The sequence below is a fragment of the Homo sapiens genome, chromosome 6 (genome assembly GCF_000001405.40).
Source record: "Homo sapiens chromosome 6, GRCh38.p14 Primary Assembly".
NCBI classification, from domain to species: Eukaryota; Metazoa; Chordata; class Mammalia; order Primates; family Hominidae; genus Homo; species Homo sapiens.
In genome coordinates this window covers 87,846,951-87,874,667 of record NC_000006.12, presented here as the reverse complement: position 1 = coordinate 87,874,667, position 27,717 = coordinate 87,846,951, and the positions used below count along the sequence as shown (strand labels likewise).

The window sequence follows — 27,717 nt, the reverse complement described above, 5'->3', positions numbered from 1 at the left end:
CAAAATAGGCAAACAGAATATAGGAAACTGAGCAATAGGGGAAAAAGAGCAAACTGATAAAGAGATGGACGAATGGAGAGAAAGTTAAGAAAATTTAAAAAATCAATCCAAGGACCCTAAATGTGACTAATAGGAGCTCTAGAAGAACAGAACAGAAAAAACAGTAGGGAGGAAATTATGAATGACATAATTTTCTCATAACAAAATTTCCAGAACTAGAGAACACGAGTCTGTAAATTAAAAATGGTTGATCATAATAAAAATTAAAAGACCAATACCAAGGCACCATTGGAACTCATTCCATACCCCAAAGTACAGCACCACAGCCTACTGAGTACTTTGAACTGAAGGAGGTGGGAAGGTCTCAGAAACAAGGTCGATCTGCCCTCCTCCTGCCCTTCTGCCTTCCTGCCACCTTTCTCCCCTGAAATAAATCACAGAAGCCACAATTCCTCTTCCTCAAGGCAGGTTGTAGAAACTAGACCTGCCCTCCCCCAAAGCAAGCCATAAAACCTAGAAAGCTCACTCTCCCTCCCTCTTCTCCCTTGAAGACCCTCATTCCAGAGGGGTTCCACCCCATACCCAGGAGGAAGGAATGCTACCCAGAGAACCAAGAAGCATCTGAGCAGACAGGCTTTGCTGGGCTTCCCCGCTCAGTCTGTTACCATTAGATCTTACACTTTTGTCCAATCCCATTTCTACACAGCTGTCTATTCTTCATTGAACCTAAGCATAAAAACAGTGTTCCCTGGGTCTTTCGGTCTTCATTTCTGAAAGTTCCTCTGTCACATAAAACTTTGATTAAATAAATTTGTTAGGCTTTTTGCTTGTTAACCCATCTTTTGTTATAGGAATGTTGGTCATAACTCCTAGGATGGGTGACGAACAGGTATCACACCTTTCTTCCCCTGCAGGGCATTGTTGTGAAATTTGAAAATATCAAGAATAAAGAGAAAAATATTTTAAACTTCCAGAGAGGAAAAAGAGGACACACACAAGAAATTATGAATCAGAATAGCATCAGACTTCTCAACAGCAATTACGCAAAGTAAAGAAAATGACTTCATAATTCTGAGGAAAAATGATTTTCCAAATGAAATTCTATACTCAACATATCAGTAAAGTTTGAGTATACAATAGACATTTTCAGATGTTCAGATCTCAGAAAATTTACCTTCTTTATATAACTTTTTAGGAGACTGCTGAAGAGTAAACTATTCTAGCAAACCATGAAAAGAAGACATTGGAACCACACACACACACACACACACACACACACACACACACACACACACACACACAAAACAAGGGATCTATCCCCAAAGAGCTGCATGTGGGGTTCAAATATAGAGCAATGCACATGGATTAGGGGGAAACAACAAAGAGCTCTAGGAGAAACATTTTTAAGGGGAAACAGCAGAGTTGATTTGTTTGCATACATGGCAAATATTAATATGTATGTTGTGACAGAAACATTGGAGGCATTTGTGGGAAAATGGCAATAGTTACACAAAAATGAAGCAAAGGAAAACAAGAGAAAAGTATCAGCTCCAAAAATGTACAAGGTAAGAGCCATGGCTGTAGTGTATTACTGGACTCAGCAGTTGGCAATACTTCCGCAGTCATAATATTCTAGCACTGATTATTAATTTAATCAAAATTTGTGGTGTTACTATTTGAGGAGTCTGAGGACTATGAAATGGGGATGTTTATACAAGAGTAGGTCTTCATTTACTATGATAATAAATTAACAGGTGATGTCCAAACCAACAAACCAAAACCTTGTGGTATAAACATATTAGTTAGAAATATGACTATATTAGCCAGGCGGGTTGGCGCATATCCATAGTCCCAGCTACTCAGGAGGCTCAGGCAGGAGGATTGCTCGAGCCCAGGAGTTCAAGCTATGATTGTGCCGCTGCACACCAGCCTAGGCAACAGAGTGAGACCTTGTGTCTTAAAAAAAATTTTAAAAATTATTTAAAAAAAAGAAATGTAACGATAAAGGCCAGAAGAAACAGCTAGATTCATGGTGGTTACCTCTGGGGTTCAGATTTGGGGTTGGGTGGGATGGGACAGAATAATGTAGTTTTTCATTTAAAGCCTTAATGCATATATTTAGGCAAAATAAATACAGGTAAGGAGAGCCACCGCTTTCATCACACACAGGCACCCCTTAGAACTGTTCTCATCCCAGCCTCCCCACTGAACTCCTCCTTACAGCCTATGGAAGAGAAGGTACAAGCAAAAATCACAAGAGCGAATTCACTAAGAACTCTGTAGGGTGCTCAGACCAAAGACAGCCCTACCTTGGAATCCCTCTAACATTGTATGCCTTCAAGTGGGGAACTGCTTCCTTGTGTACAGACCCTTTCCCAGCTGGGCACATCAAGGGCTCCAGCACATTAGGGCACTGTCCAGAGGGAGACTAAATGCTGCAAGTGGACATGCCTTCAGAGACTGCGCAGAGCAGGGCATGAGTCTAAATGGACGCGCTTATTGCCGACTGAATTTGCTCATAAGCACAGGCCAGGCATACCCTGCAGACTCCCAAATCGCTGCAGGGCACTTTGCAGCCATGGGTAACCTGTGTGAGCAGATGGGGTGACACAGGCAAGCTCAGTGTCTTTCTGTGTGTGTGACCCCATTGCTCTCTTGGGCTAGGGATCTAGAGGAGCAGACCTCCCTGAATGGGGTTCAAATGTGCCGGATCACGCACCTGGCTTGGGAAGAGAGGCTCACCTAGGAATTCTCTTGCCACAGGCAGCCTTCCCAGATCCAATCAGGAAAAACAGAATGCTGAGCAACTGCCCAGGCCCCCCAGAAACTCCCACCTCACATTGTTCCATCAAGTCTGAGAAAGGGGCTGTGAGCAGCAGGCTAGGTCATGGCTGTCAGCTCCAGGAACGTGGTCTGAGCTTCACAGTTTAGGACGAACAAAGGATCCTGGGGAAATGAGTTCCGGGCTTTGGTGCCTGCTTTTCCCTATGGCCATGTCATCCGCCTTGGGCCACTAGGCACATCCTCACCTTGAGCAGCCAAGGTGTGCTCTTGGTGCCTGGGTACCAAAGAAGAAGCTCCTATAACTTCCTGGAGGGCAGAGCAGCATTTCTGTGCCTCTTCCTGTCCTCTGGCTGTTCTGTTGTCACAATGGACAAGGGGAATTTTCCCCTTAAAGGTCATTTCAGCCTCTAAGACACCAGGGAGCCCTCATTTGTGCCACTGCCCTGACCTCTCCAGCCCAGATACTCCAAACCACATGTCCATCATTTAATGAGAGATCTACAGCTCCTCTTCTAAGGAAGGTCCCTTATGCTTTTCCATAGGTTGGTCTTTCCCTCTTAGCTCAACATTCCAAAATGGCAAGGACCAAACCTTAAACATCTAAAGTCCCCAAAGAACCAGCCCTAGCCCAAGTACCCATCTAGTACTCAATAAATATGGCTTCACTAGCTATTTCAATCCGAAGGGCTAGCTTTATAAGGAAGCTGAAAATGTCATGTTGGAGGGGAGGAGGAAAACAAAGAAAAATCGACAGGTTCTTCAAAGTGCTTTTGAGAACCCCTCCTTCCTTTTCAACCCCTTTCTACCCCCATGCTTACTAAAAATACATAAGTAAGATTCTCTTAGAAGCCAAACATTTAGAATAATATATTTTCAGGAGATTGTTTTTTTCCCAACAAAGCTTGGATGCCTGAGCAGGTTGTAAATTTACAGCTGACGATTCTCTGCCAGAAGTTCTTTTGGGTGTTTACAGCTGTGAAATACAATCTTTAGGTGACAAGCATTCCACTTTGTTCTCCCAGTCTGATTCCAGCAGTCTGCGTTCCTGACAACATAACTCATCACAACAATAATGAAATAACAAGAATATTTATTCAGATTTACACACCACCTTTCACCTAAGGATCCCTCAGCAATTTCAAACACAGCTGAAATAATTCCAAACTGTGTATCTCTCCAACTTTGATTTAGAAGCTAAAAAAGGATTCAGTCTGCCGTGTGTAATTCCTTGGCAAAAATCATATACTTCTCCATAAATGGAAACAGTGAATCTGGCTCTTTTTCAAAAATCTTCTCTCTCCTTCTTAAACCTTTTTTGTTGGGAAATAAGCCATTGCCATAACCTAGACCCCACCCAAGATTTTCTTATTTTGTGCTTTCAAGATTTTTTGCAAAAGATAAATATAATATATAAATTAAGTGCCTTTTCTGCTTGGCAAGATTCAGTGAAACAACTTTTAATTGGGATAACTAATAAACAGGAAATTCTAAATAATTTATAGTTTTAATCAAGCAGAAACCCTCCCTCTCCCATTCCTTTATTTTTTTTTCAACACTTGCGCTTTTATTTTTCTATGAATTACAGCTATTTACTAACTTTCTTAACTTCCTAACCAGGAGTTTTTTAAAAAAATAAGGCCCTGCATCTGTATCACTTCTCTTTGTACACCAATATTTCTCATAGTGCCTCGTGCAGTGTGCAGATCTGTGATAAATTGTTTTTGTTTTTGAGACAGGGTCTCCCTCTGTCACCCAGGCTGGAGTGCAGTGGCACAATCTCCACTCACTGCAACCTCCACTTCCCAGGTTCAAGTGATTCTCATGCCTCAGCCTCCCGAGTAATTGGGATTACAGGTGGGTGCCACCACACCCAGCTAATTTTTTGTATTTTTAATACAGACAGAGTTTTGCCATGTTGGCCAGGCTGGTCTTGAACTCCTGACCTCAAGTGATCCGCCCACCTCAGCCTCGCAAAGTACTGGGATTACAGGCCTGAATCACCGTGCCCAGTCTAAATTGATTTATTTCTGAATTGCATCCACGAGTTAAAATATTTCCAAAGTAATATGACCACAATGTCTGCATTAGGGTACAAACGAAGGGAGAAAACAAGCAAATGTCCAAACCCTATCTTTCACCCCACTATCAGTGGTGCTACCCACCCTTATCACTGGAAACCAGATTACTAGGCCTAAGTTCAAAGGCCTCAGAGCTCTTGCTGCACAGAACTAAAGGGAAATTCCTCTGAGATCTTGGATAACTTCAGCCCTATATCTGGGCAGAGAAAATGTTGACCTTCTTGGAAAACCTTGGCCTATAGTCATTCATTAAATCTAAATTATGAATCCACTATGCATCAGACATTGTGCTAGGGGCTGAGGGTATAAGAATGTAAAGGGCATTGTTCTGCCCCCAAGGGATGTGTAGCCCAGGGTGGGAGATATTAGAGAAACAGATAAGAGAGATAAGATCAGGAGAACACTTTGTGTCATGACATAATCACCCATAAGACAGAGGTGGCTCCATCTGAACCCAGTCTGACCTCCCAACCACAGACTAGGCCATAGGCATACTTTAAAGACACCAGGCTCTAAACCCACCTGCTCACTTCCGCCATGTTCAGTTCCCATCCTGTTGCATCACATGGGGGACACTGCCTTGTGTCTTGGTGTCCTCAGAGTGGCGATTTTGTCGCCCTCTAGGAGCTTTCTGGCTTCTTCCTTGGATGCCACCTTTCTGCTCCTTCTTGGATCCACACTCTGTAGCCCACAGGCTTGCTCGCCTTCTCTTCTTACTTTAATACTGTGGCTGGATAGTATTTTAAGATATTAGCCTTTTTTCCTCCCTGTATTTATTTCCTTCCCCCAGTTCAAGCTGGTGGCAGTCTTGATACTCCATAACCTCAGGAAAGCATCCATCAGGGTCAAAACCAACAATAGCCAGCAAGTCCATCTGGCTTTTATTTCCCTGAAAAACAATGTTTAGCCCTAAAGAAGAGTTGGTGGTTTGGGGAGAAAGTGGGAGCTAATGTGAGAAGTAATACAGTGGGGGCTTCATCCTTTCTTCCCTCTTTCCCTTTTCCAGACTAACAAGAGATGTCCCTGGGTGAGAGGAGGGAAGAAGGGGAAGAGACATGCCAAAGGGTTGCAGAGAAGCCCATGCTCCTTTTTAGTCTACAGTGTTGACAGCAAAACCCCAGGTGGAAAAGTTGGGTGGAGTGCATGCCAGGCAGACAAAACCACAGGCAGCCTAACATGGCATAGCTATGGCAGAGAAGAAGGAATCCAGGAGGTTGGTGGCAGCTTTAGCAGTAATCTCCATAGATGGATGACCAAAGACCAGACCACCAATCTGCACTCTGAAGACTCCACACCACATAAGAGGAGGATAAACTCAAATCCGTGAAGTTAGGTTTTCCCCAGACTAAAAAAAGGGGTGCTCAGCATGAAGTGAAGTTGACTTATAAGCCATAAAGACATGTGACATTTCCAACACACCTGAGTTGTGTGGGTGACTTATTCTGGCACCATACTCTTCCTGGAGGCATCCAACCATGCCCAGGTCTTTATACACTGTTTAATGCCAGATCTAAATCTCAAGTTTTGTTCTCTTTCTCTGTTAAGAAAAAGACCAATATTTTAAGCTGCTTTCTAAATATCTCATTTCAAACTTAGCATGTCCTTAAAGTGACTTTATCTTTTTGAGTCTCCCTGCCCTACCCCACCAACTCATTTCTCTCCCCACTCTTCTCTTCCCAGGTAATAGCACTAGAGTCCATCCAAATTAGAAACCGCACAGATATCGCTAGTTCCTGTGTCTCTGTTTCCACCCAGCCCAGTCTATTCTACCTCAGAAATCTCATTCATATATGGCCTTGTCCTTTCTATTACCTCAGCTATGCCCATTTTCCAGACCTCACTGTCTGCCATGTTCATGAAACAGCTTCCTGTGTTTTCAGACTATCTTCTACACTATCCAAAGGATCCGTGGTCCTAGATTACTTAGGCTTCCTAATAGAGAAAATCCATATTCCTCGGCAGAGAATGCAGGACTCTGTCTAAATATGGCCTCTGACTACTTCACTCCCCATCAACTTTTACGTGTGTCCACACTCATGCACACACACGAGACTTACCACCCTCCCATGACTCAAGAGGTAACTATTGCTAAGCAATGGATCACGTAGCAGAAAAGAAAGCTGTGGTTGGGTCTGGATGCTAAGCTGGTAGAGCATAAGTAAGCAGGAGGGAAATAAGAGCAAGGAAGGGAAAGTCTTGTGATTTGCTTCTAGAATTTTCTTATGATGCAAAAAGAAAAACCCAGGAAAGGCTGTCTGAGTGGAAAGAGAGACACAGGAACTAGAGATATCTGTGCGGTTTCTAATTTGGGTGGACTCTAGTGCTATTACCTGGGAAGAGAAGAGTGGGGAGAGAAATGAGTTGGTGGGGTAGGGCAGGGAGTGTTAAAAAGATAGTCACTTTAAGGACAAAGTCACTCAGGATAATGATCAAGGTGAATAAAAATTAAGCTTCTGAAATCTGTGAGGCTGCTCTGGCCAGCCTTCCAGGAGTCCTTGTGAGATGGGACAGGGACTCCTTTTTTAAGTGGCCTGTGGACCCAAACCATGGAAATCAAGAAAAATCCTGAATTCCTTCAAAAAATATACCGGGTACCTAGCTAGTCCCAAAAGTAAGTAAGCAACTTGTTAAACAAGAGGGGAATAGTAGTCCAAAACAACAGCGAAAAAATTAAGAGTCCCGGAGATATTGCTTTCCCTATAGAACCCAAAGATAACATTTTGGCATATGTCCCTGAGTTGTCTTTCAAAAACTCAGACCTCCACCGGGGACTCCCACCAAAGGATCCCCTGGCACACCGACCTCAGATATGCGGGAAATAAATACTAAACTTTAACCACCATCCTTTATTCTAAGTTTCTTCCTGAGAGGCTTGGAAAAGGTCACTCCCTGTAGCCAGTTAACATTCTTTCATTGACCTCAAATTTTAAAACAAAGCTTTTCTTCCCCAACCAATCACAAATCAGAAAGTCTCTGAATCTACCTATGACCTGTATATCCTGCCCTTTCAGGTCTAAACCAATATGTAACCTCCATGTATTGATTAATAATTTTGCCTGTACCTTCTGCTTTCTTGTAATTTACTCCCGCCTTTAAACATCCTTGCCTGCGGTCGGCCGGGCGCGGTGGCTCACGCCTGTAATCCCAGCACTTTGGGAGGATGAGGCGGGTGGATCACCTGCGGCCGGAAGTTCAAGAAAGCCTTACCAACAGGGGGAAACCCCGTCTCTACTAAAAATACAAAATTAGCCGGGGTGGTGGCGCATGCCTGTAATCCCAGCTACTCGGAAGGCTGAGGCAGGAGAATTGCTTGAACCCGGGAGGTGGAGGTTGTGGTGGGCCGAGATCGTACCATTGCCCTCCAGCCTGGGCAAAAAGAGCGAAACTCTGTCTCAAAAAAAAAAAATCCTTGCCTGCAAGCCATCAGAGAGGTCAGGATTTGAGCATTCAGCTGCCTAGATCTCCTTGCTTGGCACCCTGCAATAAAAGCCTTTCTTTTTATTGCTGCAAACCTTGGTGTAGGTATCTGGTTTTACGTTGCCGGATGAAGGACACTGGTCACTTTTGTGGTGCTTGTAATACTGCTATTCTCATGGGATTTTTTAAGTACAAAAATGATAGTCGGAGGGGGAGTTTTCTGCAAACTTCAAAGTGCTGTATAAAATAAATAAATATTCATTCACCTTTATCTTTTACAACTCAACATTTCTTAGAAAAATACAAGTCACAGAGGATCTGTCTTATGCAAAAAAGAAATGCCAAATACTCATGATGGTCCAAATAATTTTTTTACTGAAAGAATGTTGGGAAATGGCAGGGTATGTTTTACTGAGAACGTGGGAATCCATATGAATTCAAAAACATTACACCACAGTTGTTATCATCAGGGTAGCCCTGGTGTGTATTGGCTGAATTTTTAATATTCTATCTTTTTAATCTTGCATGACTCTCCTTAGTAAAGTCGCTCCAAAAGGAACAGACACTTAATAAACATTTGAGGCTGGAGACTAGCTGTTTGTAAAACTCTGTCCATTAAGTAATTGTAGGTTAGGCTGAGTAAGATGTTTTATGGAGGCTAAAATAGCTACAGTGAGGCCTCATTAAATATGTTGCTGTTTTTATGGCCCCTTCAGCATAGAAAACAAATAACTTGTCCTTGTCCTCCAGAGACTGCCCTGTCCCCAAATCTGCTTTGCACTTGCCTTGCATGTAAATAAGATGTCAAGGGCTGGGTTTACAAGGTGTAAAAGGGTGGAACTAGTTCTTTGTTGCTTACCAATGCTCTGATAACACATGATGAGGAATGATATGTTATACCAGTATTCTCGAAACTGTGTTCTGTGAGATGGTAACATATATTCTGAGAAAAAAAAACAAAAAACAAAAACAAATGAAGGAGGCAGCCATGACAGGAGGCTCTTCCACGAGCAAACAGATTTGAAAAACAATCAGTTAAACAAAGGTAAGAAGTTTTCTTTCCTGCAGAATATTTAGTCTTTCATGGGCCAAAGTGCTTTGTGAATCTCCAAGAGGGGAATATCATACACAGAATGCCACCAAAAATATTCGAGCATAGAACTTTTTTTTGTAGAATACAGTGCAAAAGACACTAATGTTCCACAGAACACAATTTAAAAGAGTCTGCTTTATTTAATAAAGCCAAGTAACCAATGACAACCAGTTCAATCGTTTCCAGAACATCATATTTCTCATTGAAGGTCCTAAACAAGGGAACTCCTCCGCAAGCAATGTCATTACAAGAAGCATGAAACAGAATCATCTGCAAATGAAGTTTTGCGTAAAACACATTAAGATTTCACTACAGCCTGAGGATCCATAATTCAATATTTGAAGTCATTGTTCCTCTCATTGAGACTAGGAAACAAAATTGACAAAGGAGCCTGCCATGTTTTCTACACTTTGCTACAAGATGACAATCCTTACTAAAGCACAGGAAGAAAAATATGACACAGAAAAAAGCCAAGTATATGTGCTGTCCATATTTTCCCTTGCAATTATAAAAAGAATCATAATAACGCAAGCTTACTAAGTAAATGACTACAGCAAGAGCAGTCAGAGGGACCAAGAACAGAAGCCACATTGTGAAAAGCCTCCCACATGACTCCATGTTGTCATAGTGTAATGAATACTGATGGTGCCCCTCGTAGATCCCCTCTACCTGGCTGGTGCACCTATCCCCCGGCTGCCATGAGTGTGGGTTGCTAGTGGCTCCAGAGGCTTCCTCCCAGGGGAGCTGCCCTGTGTAGAATAGGGATGGCCTCCTCCATGAGGTTACATCACCCATCCACCACAGGGCAGCCTGTAAACAGTGACTGACATGGGATACAAAAGTCTGATTGACTTTCCTCAAGGTCTATGTGGTGGAATTCATGCCCCAGTGCTCCCCATGGTATCAGGCTAAAGCCAGCCTCCAACTGAGACCATAGCCTTGCTTAGCTCCTTGTCTTGCCCTTGCCCACTTCCCTCGCTCCCTTTCTCCTAAGACCCTTCCAATAAATCACATACAATTTGTTGCCTGTCTTAGGCTCTGCTCCTAGGGAACCCAGCCGAGGACATATAATTAGAACTTTAGATCTAAAGAGACATCTTTTCTCTTAGCTATGATATGAACAGAGTTCACCATGACCAGTCTTCTTACCTGCTTCAGCAACCGTTCCTTGTGGTATAATAAGAAGCCCTGGGTCTGTATTTCATACAATGTGCTTCTGTGGTATGCACATCACAGGTATTGGAATGCTTGCTAAAAAAAAAATATAGATCGCCAAAAACAAAAACAGATCTCAGTCCTACTAAATCAGATCTCCAGAAGTGGAACCCAAGAATTATATTCTATGACAAGATCCCCAGGTACCTCTGATGTACCCTAAAGTTTGAGAATGACTAGCAAGGGGCCATAGGTTATCCAACACGTTCCTCTCCTGCGCTGTAGTAACTGAGAGATACTCTCAAGGCAAACTAACTTGTCTTCTTATCTTCTGCCTACTGACAAAGTCCTCTGAGAGAAAATAACATATGAATGTCCAGGTGAAAATTTCCAATATGGTCTATAAAGGAAAAAACAAAACAAAACAAAACAAAAAAGAAACCCAACCAGATTTGTCTTAGCTAATGACAAATTACTTCAAAATGTGAATTTCATTTTATTTCTTTAAAATTGGAAAATGTGATTTGAGATGACAGTCTATGTAAGTTGGAGCAGTTATGTGTAATCATTGAAAATCAATTATGTCCAAGTACTTAGGAGTTACGGAAAGAAAGAAAATCTGAAAACAATTTTTCAAAGCTTCATGCAGAAAAGATTTACAGTAGCTCATAAATGTCTAAATTACCACATGTATTCATCTTACAAAAGTTGACTGTTGCTTTTTTACCTAAGAAGTCTCAGATCTCTAGACACACATTGATAAATATCACCGAATGCTGTATTTTTCCATACCTCTAACAAGCATGTGACAGCCACAGCTGAACACAAGTACCTCAACGAGCAGGACAATCAAAATTAACCACAGGTATAAGTTAGTGACAGAAGATCAAACAGAGCTCCAATAGTAAACCTGCTGTCCACTATGGAACAAGATGGGTCAAGAGAATCAGAGGGTGGGCAGAGACGGCCTCCAGGGAATGATGTTTATTGAGCAGCAGTTGGTTCAAGCCTAGATTGCTTGGCAGGCAAACTCCTCTCTTCATTGTTGTTGTTTTGTTGAAGGTTGAGGGGAGTGTTTCATTTGTTTGTTTGGCTCAAGAGAAATAAAGTTGTCTTGATTCATGTCAAGCAGAGCAGGCGCCCAGCTCTTCACTGGCTGACACTTCTTAATGACCGTCTGGGCAGGGATCCCAAAATGAATCAGGCCACCCATGAGAGGCTCACTCACCCCTAGAAGATTCTTAATAATTATCTGGTGCTTGGTTAATAGAGAATAACAGAACACACTTCTAATCAAAGTGAAGCACCTTTTCAAATCCCAGATGTCCAAAAAATTACCTGGTAGAAGGAGATTGGGTTGTTCAATGTGGTTTTCTCCTGAATGTTAAAACCAAGGACAGTGTGATAGCAAATCTAAGTACAAAACTCAAAGACAAGTCTAAATCTGTAAGTTTTAAAAATATATTAGGACCAATATTCTTAAGAAAAGATATACCAACTAAAAAGCATAGCAAATAACATACTTCTTAAGGAAACTCTACAGATAGTTTCCAGAACATGCAGTTTCTAAAGTTCACAGTGGTTCTAATGCATCATTTTTAAATAAACTCAAAGTTCACTGAACAATGTATTATTAGAGTGGCTCCCTTTTGGGAGAAATAATAATATATCATTCCATAAGATTACCAAGCAGATACCTGGGGACACCTTCCAAAAGTCAGCATCCTTACCTCAAATTTCATAATCAACTCCATTGGTGGACCACAGTGAACTGACTAGTGTCAGGCCTCTGAGCCCAAACCAAGCCATCGCATCCCCTGTGACTTGCACGTATATGCCCAGATGGCCTGAAGTAACTGAAGAATCACAAAAGAAGTGAAAATGCCCTGCCCTGCCTTAACTGATGACATTCCACCACAAAAGAAGTGTAAATGGCCGGTCCTTGCCTTAACTGATGACATTCCACCACAAAAGAAGTGAAAATGGCTGGTCCTTGCCTTAAGTGATGACATTACCTTGTGAAAGTCCTTTTCCTGGCTCTTCCTGGCTCAAAAAGCTCCCTCACTGAGCACCTTGCAACCCCCACTCCTGCCCACCAGAGAACAAAGCCCCTTTGACTGTAATTTTCCTTTACCTACCCAAATCTTATAAAACGGCCCCACCCCTATCTCCCTTCGCTGACTCTCTTTTCGGACTCAGCCCGCCTGCACCCTGGTGATTAAAAGCTTTATTGCTCACACAAAGCCTGTTTGGTAGTCTCTTCACACGGACGCGCATGAAAACTAGCATCAAGAGGATGTTGGCCATCTGAAAAGCTTGGTATTTTTAAACAGACACAACTAAAAGGAGAAAGGATTGCCTGAGATAGAGAACCTTGGAAATGGTGATGTTAAAGCAACTAACGTTCCAACCTCCTGCCAGCATAGAGTCCCACTGCCTTGACAGTTTCAGGGAAAGGAGGAAGACACATGAGACTGACAATTATAACACATCCTTTAACATTAATTCCTGTGGATACACAAGGACAAATCATCAAACTATCTATTTGACATGACTCAGAGAAGCACTAGGTTCAAATAACCTTGCATGGATCCATGAAGAACAGCCTGAGAGGTAGTTCTTCTACTACAGGGTTGATCTACATGTTATGTAGATAAGGGAGGCAGAATTAGAGCTAATTTCCTCCAGAGATTCAAGTCTAGTCTACATTATATTCTCATTAATTACTTATCAAAATATGGCTTAACACTTAGTCAAAGGCCAGACCGAAGTATAATCGAGCCGAGTGGCTTGATGTCAGTCCAAGCACCATAGAGTATCATTACAGTGAAGACTTGAATTACAATGCACAGCTTAGTCCTTCAGATGACACAAAGTAGGGTGGAGCTGTTTGGCAGTCATGGTATCCTAATTAAAAGCACTTGTAATTTTAAAAATAGGAAAAGATGCTCAACTTCATTAGTCATCAAGGAAGCACAAATTAAAGCACATGTGATGCAATTACATACCACTAGAATGGCTAAAATGAAAAAGACTGACAATACAAAGTGTTGGTGAAGGTGTGGAGCAATAAGCACTCTCAAACTCATGGGGGTTTAAATTGGCCCAACCAGTTTGGAAAAACTGTTTGTCAATATCTAGTAAAGCTGAGCATACACATACCTGATGACTCCACGATCCCATCTCTAGGTCTATACCCAACAGAAATGGGTACGCATGTTCACCAAATCACTTCCACCTTTAGGCTATTGTAAAGAGTGCTGCTATAGATATTCTTCACAGAGTATTCAAAAGTTCGAAAACAGGCAAAACCAATCGATGGTGTCAAGAAGTCAGAATAGTGATACTATTGGGGCAGGGAGAGAATGTTGCTGGTAATATTCTGTTTCTTGATCCAGACATTGGTTACACAGGTCTGCTCACTTTGCCAAAAAAAAATTTTTTTTTTTGAGATGGAGTCTCGCTCTGTTGCCCAGGCTGGAGTGCAGTGGCGCGATCTCGGCTCACTGAAAGCTCCACCTCCCGGGTTCATGCCATTCTCCCACCTCAGCCTCCCATGTAGCTGGAACTACAGGCGCCCACCACCATGCCCGGCTAATTTTTTTGTGTACTTTTAGTAGAGACAAGGTTTCACCATGTTAGCCAGGACGGTCTCGATCTCCTGACCTCATGATCCGCCCACCTTGGCCTCCCAAAGTGCTGGGATTACAGGTGTGAGCCACCATGCCTGGTCCACTTTGCAAAAATTTATTGAGCTGTCTACTTATAATTTGTATACTTATAATAGTATTGTATTCTATATGATATGGCCGAATTTTGTCCCCACAAAATTATATGTTGAAGCCCTAATACCCAATGTGATGGTATTTGGAGCCAGGACCTTTGGGAGATAAATGGGTTTAGATGAGGTCATAAGAATGGGGCTCTCATGATATGATTAGTGTCCTTATAATAAGAGACACCAGGGAGCTTGGTCTCTGTCTTTCTGCCATGTGAGGACACAGCAAAAAGGCGACTGTCTGCAGTCTAGGAAGGAGGTACTCATTGGAACCAAATATGCCAGCACCTTGATTTTGGACTTCCCAGCCTCCAGAGCTATGAGAAATAAATGCCTGTTGTTTAAGCCACATAGTCAAGGGTATTTTGTAAGAGCCCGGCAAAAGGAGGAAGCTAGGCATGTGTGAGGCCACCTTCATCATTTTCTTCCTATAATCAAATTGGACACAGGAAACGATTTCCTTATAAAAAGAGAATTGAAAGAGTCAATATAAGTTCCCCCAAGTTATTCCTCCTTGATTATTTGGGTCTGTCAAGTGAAGTGCTTACAGTTTTAATGGCCAGACAGTGCTTACAACTTTAGCTGTGTTTTGCCTGTGTAAAGACAAGTTTGGTATTCAACGCTAAGACTAACAAAGTTATAGAAAAATGCATAAGTGCAATTTTAACTCTATTAGAGATGCAAACCTTTGGGAACATGGATATGTGCTTTTACCTATTTTAAGTGTGAAAATGGAATGTGATTAAGAACAACCACCCTGTTAGATAATATGCATCTTTAGAAATGGACCTGTGATAAGCTTTTAGTGGTAATTTAGTAACTAGCTATAAATATTGACCATAAAACTTAGTTAGCAGAGCATCTCAGAATGTTTTTATTTATTAATAATGAAAGTTTATAGAGCTCTTTCTGGAATGGTTGTTTGGGCCCAGAATCTAACTTCACACCACTCTTTGGTCTGTGTCTGCCTGAGGCAGTGATTCATCTTAGACATCCTCTGGAGACCCCTCCAACTTCTGTGGTTCTGCAATAAAGAGATAACCTACAAGAAAGAAATCAGCATGCAAAGAAAACATCTTCATTGGAACACTCGTTCTGGTATGGATTCTCCAAATTATCTTTTCCTAGGAATTCGAGACTATTGTTCCTTCTTAAATCGGGAAGAAGAATATTTAGGTATAAATCTCCTACACTTCCTGATCTCCACAACAGAAAAAAGAATCAAACAATTTATCACTCTGATACTGAATCGAGAGTGGTTAAAAGTAGTAAATTAGTAGAGAATCTTATGGCTGTACAGAGCCACAGTAAAATAATCAGCAAGATAAGAAAAGAGAAAGAAAACGAGCAACAGAGAGAGAACCAAGGAGATTCCAGGTAAATAATTCTCATTTTTTTAGGATATTGGCCTGAGGCATTTTTGTGAATTTTAGATAAAGATATTCAGCCTCTGCAGAAACCTTTAATGAAACACCCAACCCAACAATAATGTATTTTCCTGCTGTGGCAGAAGACTGCAATTCCATTTTCCAATGGTCATGATCTATATTTCTGCACAAGAAAGAGGGCCAAGTAAACAGGATTTTTCCATAAGGCAATTAAGGTAGAACATGGATTAGGATGAAAATAAAATGACTCTTTATCTTCTTTTATGTAAATATTTTTCCTAATATACCACCTGCTGGAAGCCCGTGGCAGAATATGATTGCAAGAACACAACTGTGAAGCAATTTTCTGAATTCCTGAGTAATTCAGTCAAAAGTGGGACAGCCCTTGAGTTATCCAAGATGTTATCTCAAGCCACTGCTCTGCCCTACTTTTACAGACATGCCCCAGAAATTTCTATGTATCCATTTTTCTATTCAGTGAGATAAATTCCTTTGGTTTTCTCATTGAGTCTGAAATTTAATCAGTTAACAACCTTTCCACTGCCAAGTCTAAGTCCTCTTGGATCTCCTCACCCTCTCACCTTCATGCTGACCAGCCCCATCAGTCCTGCTGCACACACGTGCACACATGACACACTAAAATATGCCTTTGAATAGGTGCCTCTCCCTGTGGGCAATGCCCTGTTTCCTCCTCTGTGCCTACTCAAATTCTAGGCCTTCAAGACAGAACTCAAACACACCTTCTCCAGGTAACTTTGCTAGATGAAACCCACTCCTCTCTCTCTCTCTCTGTGTGTGTGTGTGTGTGTGTGTGTGTGTGTGTGTGTGTGTCTTTCTCTTTCTCTCTTGGAGACAGAGTGTCACTCTGTTGCCCAGGCTGGAGTGCAGTGGCACAATCATGACTCACTGCGGCCTCGACCTCCCCAGGCTCAAGTGATCCTCCCACCTCAGCCTCCCGAGTAGCTGGGACTACAGTCACACACCACCAAGCCTGCCTAATTTTTGTATTTTTTGTAGAGATGGCGTTTCACCATGATTCCCAGGCTGGTCTTAAACTCCTAGGCTCAAGTAATCTGCCCTCCTTGGCTTCCCAAAGTGCTGGGATTACAGGTGTGAGCCACTGTGCCCAGCCTTCACTCCACTCTCTTAACACATAAAAATCAAGGTCAAATCCTGTGAAAGTAAATTCCAGGTATTTGGCTGTTCTAGACTTTAGTTCTTTTTAACATTGCTTGAAATAAAACAACTTTTATGTGAGCATTTGGTTCTTGGTTCTCCTAGCCCCAGCCTGTATTTCCACTGCTACCTACCCCCGACCCCGACACCCCACACACACACTCAAACACACACATACACACAACAGGTTGATCCAGGGCAGCAGTCTCTTTGATTACTTTGCAGCATTTGTTCCTTGCATTTCCCTCTATCCTTCCTAGGTGAGCAAGAATACTGTTTTTTTTGCACTATAGTTATTGAACAAATAACTATAAATAAATGGCAAATTTATTTACAGTTAATTTGCCATCTATTTATAGTTAAATAAATAAATTGGCAAATAAATGTTTGCCATTTTTTTGATAGCTAGAGATAAAAGGACATGGAAACTAAACTGACCAAATAAATACTTGATCCAGTAGGCACCTAAAATGTCAACATCAATGGTTTTCTTGAGGGTGACTATCTTTGGAAGTGGGAGCTGGAGTGGGAAGGATTTTAATTAATCTACATATGGAATTACATAGCATTTTCATAAATCCCTGCTTGATTTTCCCCATGGATCAAAGACCAGGGAACCATGAGGATCCTAGTTCTCTGACCCATCAGCCTGGAGATGTGTCCTTTGGTCAGGCTGCCCCTTCATCCCCTACCAGAGTTTGGTTGTTGTTGTTGTTTTGTCTTTTTAATCTTGTTGCATACCAACCCGACCAGAGTTTCTTGTCTGTGAACACCACAGAAATAACTGCAGGAATGTTTTCATGTGCCCCTATCACAGCATTTACCCACTGTCATGTGATGATTTATTCATATGTCAGTCTCCCATGATTAGAGTTGCCAGAATTAGCAAATTAAAATACAAGATACCAGTTTAATTTATATTTCAGATCAATAATGAATAACTTATTAGTATAAGTATAACCTGAATATTGCATGGTACATACTTACACTTTTTAAAAATATTCATTGTTTATCTGAAATTCAAATTTTATCCTGTATTTTATCAGTTGTCCTATATTTTAGCTGGCAACCGTATCCACAATAGACCAGGATCATTCCTTCACCTGCCACACCCACCTTATGCCATGTCTTGTGAGCACCTCAGAAATGATAATCTTGGATGTATGTAAATAACTTCCTTTTTTTTTCGAGACTGAGTTTCACTCTTATCACCCAGGCTAGAGTGCAATGGCATGATATTGGCTCAATGCAACCTCCGCCTCCCTGGGTTCAAATGATTCTCCTGCCTCAGCCTCTCAAGTAGCTGGGATTACAGACACGTGCCACCATACCCAGCTAATTATTGTATTTTTAGTAGAGATGGGGTTTCACCACGTTGGCCAGACTGGTCTCGAACTCCTGACCTCAGGTGATCCACCTGCCTCAGCCTCCCAAAGCGCTGGGATTACAGGCATGAGCCACCACTCCCAGCCTATAAATAACTTTCATTCAGAGTTTAAATGGCATCAAGTTGCACTGAAAGTTAAATTTTCACAATAGAAAGCACAAAAATATTAAATGTTCATTTAGCCTGACTTTTAGCATGAGTAGATCCAGCAAAAAAGAAGGATGATATTGTTTACAAAGAGTATATGAGGGGCCAGGCATGGTGGCTCATGCCTGTAATCCCAGCACTTTGGGAGGCCAAGGTCGGTGGGTCACTTGATGTCAGGAGTTCTAGACCATTCTGGGCAACATGGTGAACCCCCGTCTCTATAAAAAATACAAAAATTAGCCGGGTGCAGTGGCATGTTCCTGTAATCTCAGCTACTTGGGAGGCTGAGGCAGGAGAATCACTTGAACACAGGAGGCGGAGGCTGCAGTGAGCCAAGATCATGCCACTGCACTCCAGCCTGGCAACAGAGACTCTGTCTCAAAAAAAAAAAAAAAAAAAGAGTAAATGAGAACATTTGCCCACTTTGAACAGCAGTATTCATCAACTGATTCCTTCAACTCACATTATAAGGATATGTAGAACCAATGGTCCAGGTCAGAGGGCAACCACTGTCAGGCATGCAACAACCTACACTTGTAGCTTTCCAAACAGACAAAGCTTCATGGCCTCATTTCCCGCAGGGCTATCTTATCTTCCTTCCTCCTATCCCCAAATGTTGTTTGTTGATACAAGTCATATTTTTCAAAAAAAAAAAAAAAAAAAAAAGGGGAAGATGAGAAACAGGAAAATCTACCACCAAAGAGTTGGAACAACATAAGAGAAATAAGCTGTCTAGATTCTGGTTTAGCAATGGAGAAAGGAATTAAGAACCTGATATATTTCATAACTGGAAAGATGAATATGGAGGATAAAGAATATAGAAAAGTTTCTTTAAAGCTGAAATACACACTAAAAAAAGTACATAATACAAAGCAAAATATTCAAGGCTACAGAAATCAGCAAATACCTCTTCATTGTGAAAATACATTTTTATAGAATTGTGGATCAAAGGCTTCTTCAGGAGGACTTTACTAATTTTTCAGATACCTGAGCCTTCTTGTTAGTAAATCTGTTGTCCTAACAATCCATCTTTTGTATTGTTACTGAGCAAAAGCTACTCTTAAAATTCAAATGTTTTATATAAGTTGGCTGGGCATAGTGGCTCACACCTGTATTCCCAGCACTTTGGGAGGCTGAGGAAGACAGATCGCTTGAGTCCAGGGGTTCAAGACTAGCCTGGGTAAGATGATGAAGTCTCATCTCTATAAAAAATACAAAAATTGGCCGGGCTTGGTGGTACATGCCTGTAGTCCCAGCTACTCAAGAGGCTGAGGTGGGAGGATCACTTGAGCCCAGGAGGCTGAGGTTGCAGTGAACCAAGATGGCGCCACTGCACTTCAGCCTGGGTGACAGAGTAAAACTCTGTCTCAAAAAAAAAGAAAAAAAAATTGCTGGAAAAAAATGGTCTTCAGAAGGCAGAAAGAATGAACTTATATAACTCACTATTTAGAACCCATTAAAACATTGCTTACTTCCCTTTTAAAAAATTAGTATGTATATCTAGGAAAGGAACATCAACTGGCACGTGGAGGAGCATGGATTATATAACAGCCCTTCTTCTAGTAGCTGCAAATCCTTGAACAGGTTTTTTCACTTCTATGGCATTGTCTTTAAAATGGAGATATGATACTTATCCATTTGGGGCGAACATCAGTTAACATCTATGGAACACCCAGCATGATTTCCACAATGTATCTATTTCCTTATTCATTCACATTGAGTGCCTCACTGTCATGATCATCATCATCATCATCTTTATCAATTTCAGTTATTGATTGCCTGCTATGTGCAAATCGTTTTTCACACATAATCAAGCATGGCTGATCGAGCATTCTAGTCCCTATTTTGTTGATTCTATAGGCCCTGCCCTGTTTATGATACTATATTGCCTCTAAGAATAAAAATTCTTTCATGTAAATCCCTTCGCTTCAGCATTATACTCTCTCTGTATTTTGGAGAGTCAGAGATTTATTGACATTTAATAGCAGCAAAGCCAAGGCCTTCAGAGGTGTGACAATGAATTACACTCTCTCCTGGAAATCAAGTGGTAAATTCTTAGTCTTCTGAATTTCATTGAACAAGAACCTCCCCAAGAACAAGGGAGAGAGTTGCTCAAATCTAGGCCCTGCTGATGCAGACAATTCTGGGAGTAGGGAGGACAGCTCAAAGAGGAATGGCATCATCGTGAATGACTAGGGCCCAGGAGAAGAAATGAATTGGTAGCCTTGACAGTTGACCTCTAGCTGCTACAGGAAGTGTTTGCTTTCTTCTTCTGGGCCCTAGTCATTGCCAGCGCGGTGGCTCATGCCTGTAATCCTAGGACTTTGGGTGGCTGAGGCAGTGGATCACCTGAGGTCAAAGGTTCGAGACCAGCCTGGCCAACATGGTGAAACCCCATCTCTACTAAAAATGCAAAAATTAGCCAGGCATGGTGGTGGGCGCCTGTAATCCCACCTACTCAGGAGGCTGAGGCAGGAGAATCGCTCAAACCCAAGAGCTGGAGATTACAGTGAGCCAAGATCGCGCCATTGCACTCCAGCCTGGGCAACAGAGCAAAAACTCGGTCTCAAATAAATAAAAAATAAATAAATAAATAAAATAGTGTTTAGGCCGGGCACGGTGGCTCACATTTGTAATCCCAACACTTTGGGAGGCTGAAGTGGGTGGATCACCTGAGGTCGGGAGTTCTAGACCAGCCTGGACAGCAAGGAGAAACCCCGTCTCTACTAAAAAAAAAAAAAATTAGCTGGACTTGGTGACAAGCACCTGTAATCCCAGCTACTCAGGAGGCTGAGGCAGGAGAATCGCTTGAACCGAGGAGTCAGAAGTTGCAGTGAGCTGAGATTGCGCCACTGCACTCCAGCCTGGGCAACACAGTGCGAGACTCCGTCTCAGATAACTAAATAAACAAACAAATAAATAAAACAGTGTTTACAAAAATTAAAAAAATGACTCTGCAGTTCAAATCTTTTAAAAATCAATGTATTTTGTTTCTCATTTGAAACCACCTGTTTCAGAATCTCAAAAGTGGTGCCCCCAAACTTATTCCTCAGACGGGCTCACACAGGTGCACAAAAATGTTTAGACAAGGACATTTCTTTTTTCTAAGAGGAAAAGATTAGAAAGAATCCAAATGTGCACCAATAGGAAACTAGCTAACATATTGCTTATCCATTACAACAAAATATTCTGCAATGATGAAAAAGAGTGGAATAGATCTCTATATGCTGATAAGGACATATTTCAGAGCCTAAGATGGTACCTTTGTGCAAATTGAGAAAAGGTGCCCTCTTACAGGCAGGCCCAGGCCCTGCCAGAGAACACAGTTTACTGAATTTCAGCTTCCATTCTCCCCTCAACCAAGTGCCTGTGCACAACTACATATGACAACTCTGCTAAGACCTATTAAAGGGGAAGAAGGGAGGTGGGTATAATTTGATACCACGTGTGTGTTTCAAAGACCATACACAAAAATATTAAATATATACTTTTATCTTTAAAATATTTCTGGAAGAACACTCAAGAAGCTGGTAACAATGGTTGTCTCTGGGGAGAGAAATTGAGGGTTGTGTGGGAGATGACTTTTCACTGTATTCTCTTTTGTACATTTTTTACCATGTGCATGTAACTTTCTCAATTAAAAAAAAAAAAAAAAGGAAAGTTCTTTTATTTTCTAATGGCATACCCAGAGACTGTTGTTAAGGCCAAGGGCCATGGCTACTGCTGCTATGCAACCTGTCCTACCACACACCTGGACCTCTCAGCAGCCAATATGCGGTGTCCTGGCCCAGTTCAGCCCACGTGGCTTCCATTTATCTATGTGAAGTACAGATTTTCTAAAGCATATTTTGTTGATGGAACATACTTTGCTTTTATACATTTTTCAACAATGACAACACATCTCCAAATTATTTTCACTAGGCGCTTTTCCTTTTAGCCCAGTACCCACCCTGATGCAAACCAGCCATGAATTCTTGTTTTACTTCTGCCAACCACAGTGGGAAAATAACACACCTACTCCAATGTGTGCAGCAGTCACTGAAAATTGCTGCAATGGCAGGTTCCTAGCTAACATCTGTAGACTGTGTTTCTAGCATCTTGCTTCTGGCACAGGATAAACCACTCTGAAAAGTGTTAAGCAATAAAAGTCAAAGGTTCCCAGATCCGCGATTAAGAAGTGCCCTTGATATGGTCCATTTGCTAGCAGCGTCATCCTAGGCAAATTCCATGCACACTGTATGTCTCATAGAAAATTGGTAATACTGTAATAATCATACTTCCCTCAGAGGATTAGTGTGATGGTTTAATGAAACAATGCATGTGTCTCACATAATAACCACCCAATAAATGGTTTGCTCTTGTGGCTTTTGTGGCAAGGTGGTTGTTATATGATTGGAGAGATGAGACTGAAACAATTACATGATAGGTAACAACATCTATTATCATCTGAACAATCTACACTTACCAAATGTGATCTCATATGGTACATTATCTTCAGTAAGTACAACAATATTTGTCCTTTGAGCTTTAACGTAAGGTACTTTGAAATATAATGCCATGTCCTTTATGTTGGTGCTTGGTTATGGTTTTTGCTTAATTATAAAAGCCACCCATATTAAAGTTTGGTGGAAGGTAAAAAGTACACAAAAAGAAAAGATCATCATTTCCAATCCCACTCCAGAAAACCACTATTAACATTTTAGCATATTTCCTTCTAGTCTTTTTTCCATGCATTTTAATAATTGAGATCATATGATATATATACTTTTCTACCCTTTTTCCTGTTTAGCATTTTATCCTAAATATTTCTCCATATTATTAAAAACTCCATCAATATTATCATTTTAATAGGTGGTTAGCATTCCATTGCATTTATTTATTTAACAAATATTTATTGAAAACCTATTATGTGTTAGATACTCTCTTTGATGCTAGAGCTACTATAGTGAATAAAACAGACAAGCTCTCTCTTCCCATGAAGTTTCTGTGTAGTGTTAATGGTTGTGGTACAAGTTAGAGTAAATTAAGGAGAAAATAGGAGGTAGAAAAGTGGAGGCAGTGCTTATGGACAGTGTTTTCAAGAAGGTTAGCTGTAAAGCAGCCGTAGCTGGAGGAAAAGGAATGGTCAATGCTGTACCTAATTTTACTCAATTATTGCACTGGGGAGATACAAACGTGTATTTTAGATGATCTCTTGGGCATTTTGGTAACATTTAAAATTGAGTTTTTAATAAAAGTTGCTAGTGTCATTCCTAAGCTCGTTTTGGTGAGTCTATTGCGATTTTCATGTAGTAGCTGCAATAATGTCGTGGTCTTTAATGCTGTATAAGCAGAGAAATGAGCTTAAGGGCCATAGCCACTGATACTAAGTCCTAATGCAGGATTCTCCTCTGGCTATCATGTTATCACCTCACAATAACCATTCATCTCACCATGGGGAAGAATTTGATAGAAACCCTCTCTACCTTGGATCTCATCCAACTATTTTTGGTGTGTTCGTGTGTTTTTTAAGGCAGGGGAGAAGGAGTATTGTTCTTATAGATTTTTGTACTAGAAATGTTTTCTGTTTCCTTCTCATACCCTCTTCTATGAGAAACAACCTGCTCACAGCCCTGTTAAGGAATGGTGGCCATGTTCTGAGCACATGGCCCTACCATTCCCCCACCCCAAAACACACATACGCCCACTGACCACACTTGACTGAACCTAGTGTAGACGCTGACACAACAGCAGTAATCAAGGACCTATGAACCTGAATGGCTTGACTTGAAAATTCGATTCCTCTCTTAATTGGAGTTGAAGTGACAGGGGCAAATGGCAGTGACAGTAGAAACTGAAGTAGAGTCAGAATCAAAGAGGCCTTAGTCATGGAAAGCCACAGTAAGTTGGAATTCTGGAAGGCTGGGAACTTTGACTAAACAGGATCAGCTTACCTAGTAGAGAAGAAGCACAGAGAGATGTTTATATTGAAGTAGAGACACTGGAAGATTAATTCTCAAGCTTCCAAACTCCCCAAATGAGGCAACTAAAATGTTAGCTAATATTTTAAAAAATGATTTAAATGCATCAATGAGCTGGCATAAAGTAAAGGACTCTATAGTTGCCAAAATATGATCAGATCAGGAACCCTGGCTGGTAAGTGAACATCAAAGCTAGCTTTCATCCTGAAAGTTTCTGCCAATCCCTGGAGGATCTGAGCTTCTGCTTTGAGGGGTTGCACAGAGATATAGGGACCCACCCAAGATGGGTAATCTAAATGATGACCTCCCACATAACATTGAAACCCAGAAGTCTACACCTGTAGTGCTTAAGTGAATGAAAAAGAGACCCTGATCTACAGAAGGTAGCAGCAAGGAATTATGTCTCTCTTGATCTCAGTGCTGAACGAAGGGTTAAACCATCTCCTGTGTGTATTCAGAACCACAAGCTAGTCCTCACATGGCTTGCAATCCAAATGCTATCGGTGTAGTCTGAAATACCTTAAGCACGGAATATAATTCCTAGAGTGCCCGGGTTGGTAGTCTCAACTTCAATCTAGGTCTCAAAGGATTCCACAGATAAAGTTCCGAAAGAATAAGCAGCTCTCAGGCAAAAATCACAAAAAAGAAAAACCCACAGAGAGACACCATGAGAGAAAAAAAACCCATGTAACGCTTGAAAAAGAATCTTCTTCACCCTGCAGTCCCTGTCCTTGGACAGCCATGAGATTCATTTTAATGATGCAATAAAGTCTTCCCTTATTTGATAAATTTTACAGAAATTTTGTTCTTAAAAAAAAGTCACAACTCCCTTGTTATCAACTTTTGTTTCTAAACAGTGGCTGAGAGCATGGATCTTAACAGCAGCAGTAGCAGAGCTCTGCTGCCTTGACTTACCTTTATCTTTACTGTTATTGCATTGGTTTCTGAGCCTCATGCTGCAACCTCACTCTTTTGTCATGATCAAGTGCCAATGATCTTATGCATCTCTCTTTGGTATCTGTTTGAATGACACACTGGATGAACAAGAGGAGCTTACTGTGTCCTACTGGGACTTGATTGCAGAAGAAATGTATTAGGAGACTCTTGTGGGAAATCTAGCTTATGCTAATCAAACCCAATTTGGATGATTGTAAATGCCTGGGAATTAAGGAGAGTAAAACCAAAGAGACAAACAAATGGCCAGCTAATTCCTCAAAAGGGTTGAATGTAAGAAATAACTAGTCTTATCATTTTTAGACACAATGGGAAATACTCCATAGCCGAAAGTCTGGTCTATGCAGATAAATCTTTCACATAAAGGTGAATAAAGCAACCATTAACCAGCTTTAAAAGACATTACATGGCACTATTACTAAAGACGGCATTTTGTAAACCTGTGCTCCCCTTCCGGGAATGATCACACTGTTTCAAATCCCTAGGCCTATAGACCAGGATAAAAATGTCTTTGATTCTCCAGAGAATTCTATGTTGGCTGGCCGCCAGCTGCTGCTAAGACTGGTTTTTCTTGAAAGTTTCACCAGCACTTTGGTTTGTTTTCCTGTTAAACAAGCAAACCACCTGGTTGTTGACTAGACTCTGATGGTAAGGCTTCCAGGTGAGTGGCAGGAAGACAGAAGGAACCAGAACTCCTGACCTTGGTCTCAGGCTACATTAACACTTTTTGGTTAATACAATTAATCACAGAGAAAGAAGATGCAATCGGGAGCTAAAGCCTATGCCTTCTTAACCTTTTCTCTTAACTCTGTGAGGAACTATTTTGAGCTTAATTGGACTTTTATCTGGAATGCTCAGTTGTATGACCCTTTCCTTGCTCTGCAATGAGCCAGCCACAGTACAATTATTTCCTGTGATGGTCAGATATACAGTGATATTTGAAAACAATTCATCATTAGGCATTAAGGAAATGAGAAGAGCATTTCGATTCCTCCTTTCCTTGTTTGGAAAATCATTTTCAATTTCAGATTAAGTGAAAATTTAAGGGCTAGTAGTGGTGATTTAAGGTCTAGTAGTAGTCAAAACAGTAAGTCAGGTATGCATCTACTGCAGATGAGCTTGGTGAAAATTAATCCAATCTGAACTCTACAAAATCATTTTGGAACTGGGGCATTGAGGCTATCCAGGAGTTATTTAATATCTCAATTGATATTTCAGCAAAAGACCTTTACTTCTACTTTCTCAACTTGCTTCATTTGAAAAGGTATATTTTTAATGCTACTTGGAGTTTAGCCTTAGTAACTTCTGATTGAGCCAATTATAGTAGTTGACTAATTTAAATCACCAAGTATTTATTGAACATCTACATGTTCAAGGCATTATGCTGTGACAATTAAACCAAATGTCAAGCAAAAGGAGGCATCTAAAATCAGTTGAATTTCACAAACTTCATCACTGAGGGTCTCAAACAAAACATGATAATATTTTTAATTTTGCGAATTCTGACTTTGTTTAATTGAAGGCTTCTTATCTAATATTTATCAGAGAATATACTTAACATCTTTATTCATTATAAAATATTTATCTTACTGTAAAACAAAATGCCATCTTTGTCCTCATTATCATCAATAACAATCGACTTTTACAAGGTGCCCACTGCCTATAGGGCACTGTGCAAGAGAAATACAGTATCATAAAGCTGCTACTTTCACAATGTTATTTAGGTTGGTGCAAAAGCAATTGCGGTTTTTGCAACTTAAAAGTAATGGCAAAAACCACAATTACTTTTGCACCAACCTAATACAATCTAGTGGAGGAGTCAAAATATACAAGAGGGTATTGGGAGAATCTGGATACAGAGTGGAAATACAAGGGGTTCTTTGGTGTGTTGAATCGTGCTCTGTACCGTCAGTCATAGTGGTTACAAGAACCTATGTATGCATGTGCAAAAACTCATAGAACTGTAACCAATAAAAGTCAACTTTACTGCTATAAAAAAATTAATTTTCAGTGCACAGCAGGAAAGCAGAGCAGATTTCCCATAAAGCTAACGAAGCTAAAGCTTCAGGGCTCTCACAAGCACATCTCCTTTCAAAGCCTGGTACCTATTTTATATTCTTTGTCATAAAGAGAGACTTTATGAAAATGTGGAGTGTTTATGCCACACTCCAAAATGTTTAAGCGTCAGGACCTATAAAACTTGGATTCACCCCTTGGAGGTATGACTAAAGTAATTAAATTTATTTCCATAGTTGAATATAGAGAAGGGTAAATAATAGGATGAGGCGGCAAATGCTGAATGCTGGGAATTCAGAAGAAAGAATGATGACCAAGGACCAGGAAAGTCAGTGGGATTTGGATTGGGTCTCAATAATAAGTAGTCTGACTCTATTGTTAATG

The 27,717-nt window shown here is 40.9% G+C and overlaps 1 long non-coding RNA gene across 1 annotated transcript in view, besides 1 other annotated feature; it reads right to left on the bottom strand.

Annotated features, from left to right (window-relative positions):
- Window positions 1–27,717, bottom strand: part of LOC101928911 (uncharacterized) — a 126,872-nt gene that overhangs the window by 37,064 nt on the left and 62,091 nt on the right. The window lies entirely within an intron of this gene.
- Window positions 12,167–12,980: an enhancer, noted in NCBI's record as "OCT4-NANOG hESC enhancer chr6:88571406-88572219 (GRCh37/hg19 assembly coordinates)". NCBI's record gives its function as "activates a minimal SCP1, AML or CMV promoter by ChIP-STARR-seq in naive and primed H9 embryonic stem cells {active_cell/tissue: H9 hESC(naive and primed)}" and the evidence as "EXISTENCE:reporter gene assay evidence [ECO:0000049][PMID:30033119]".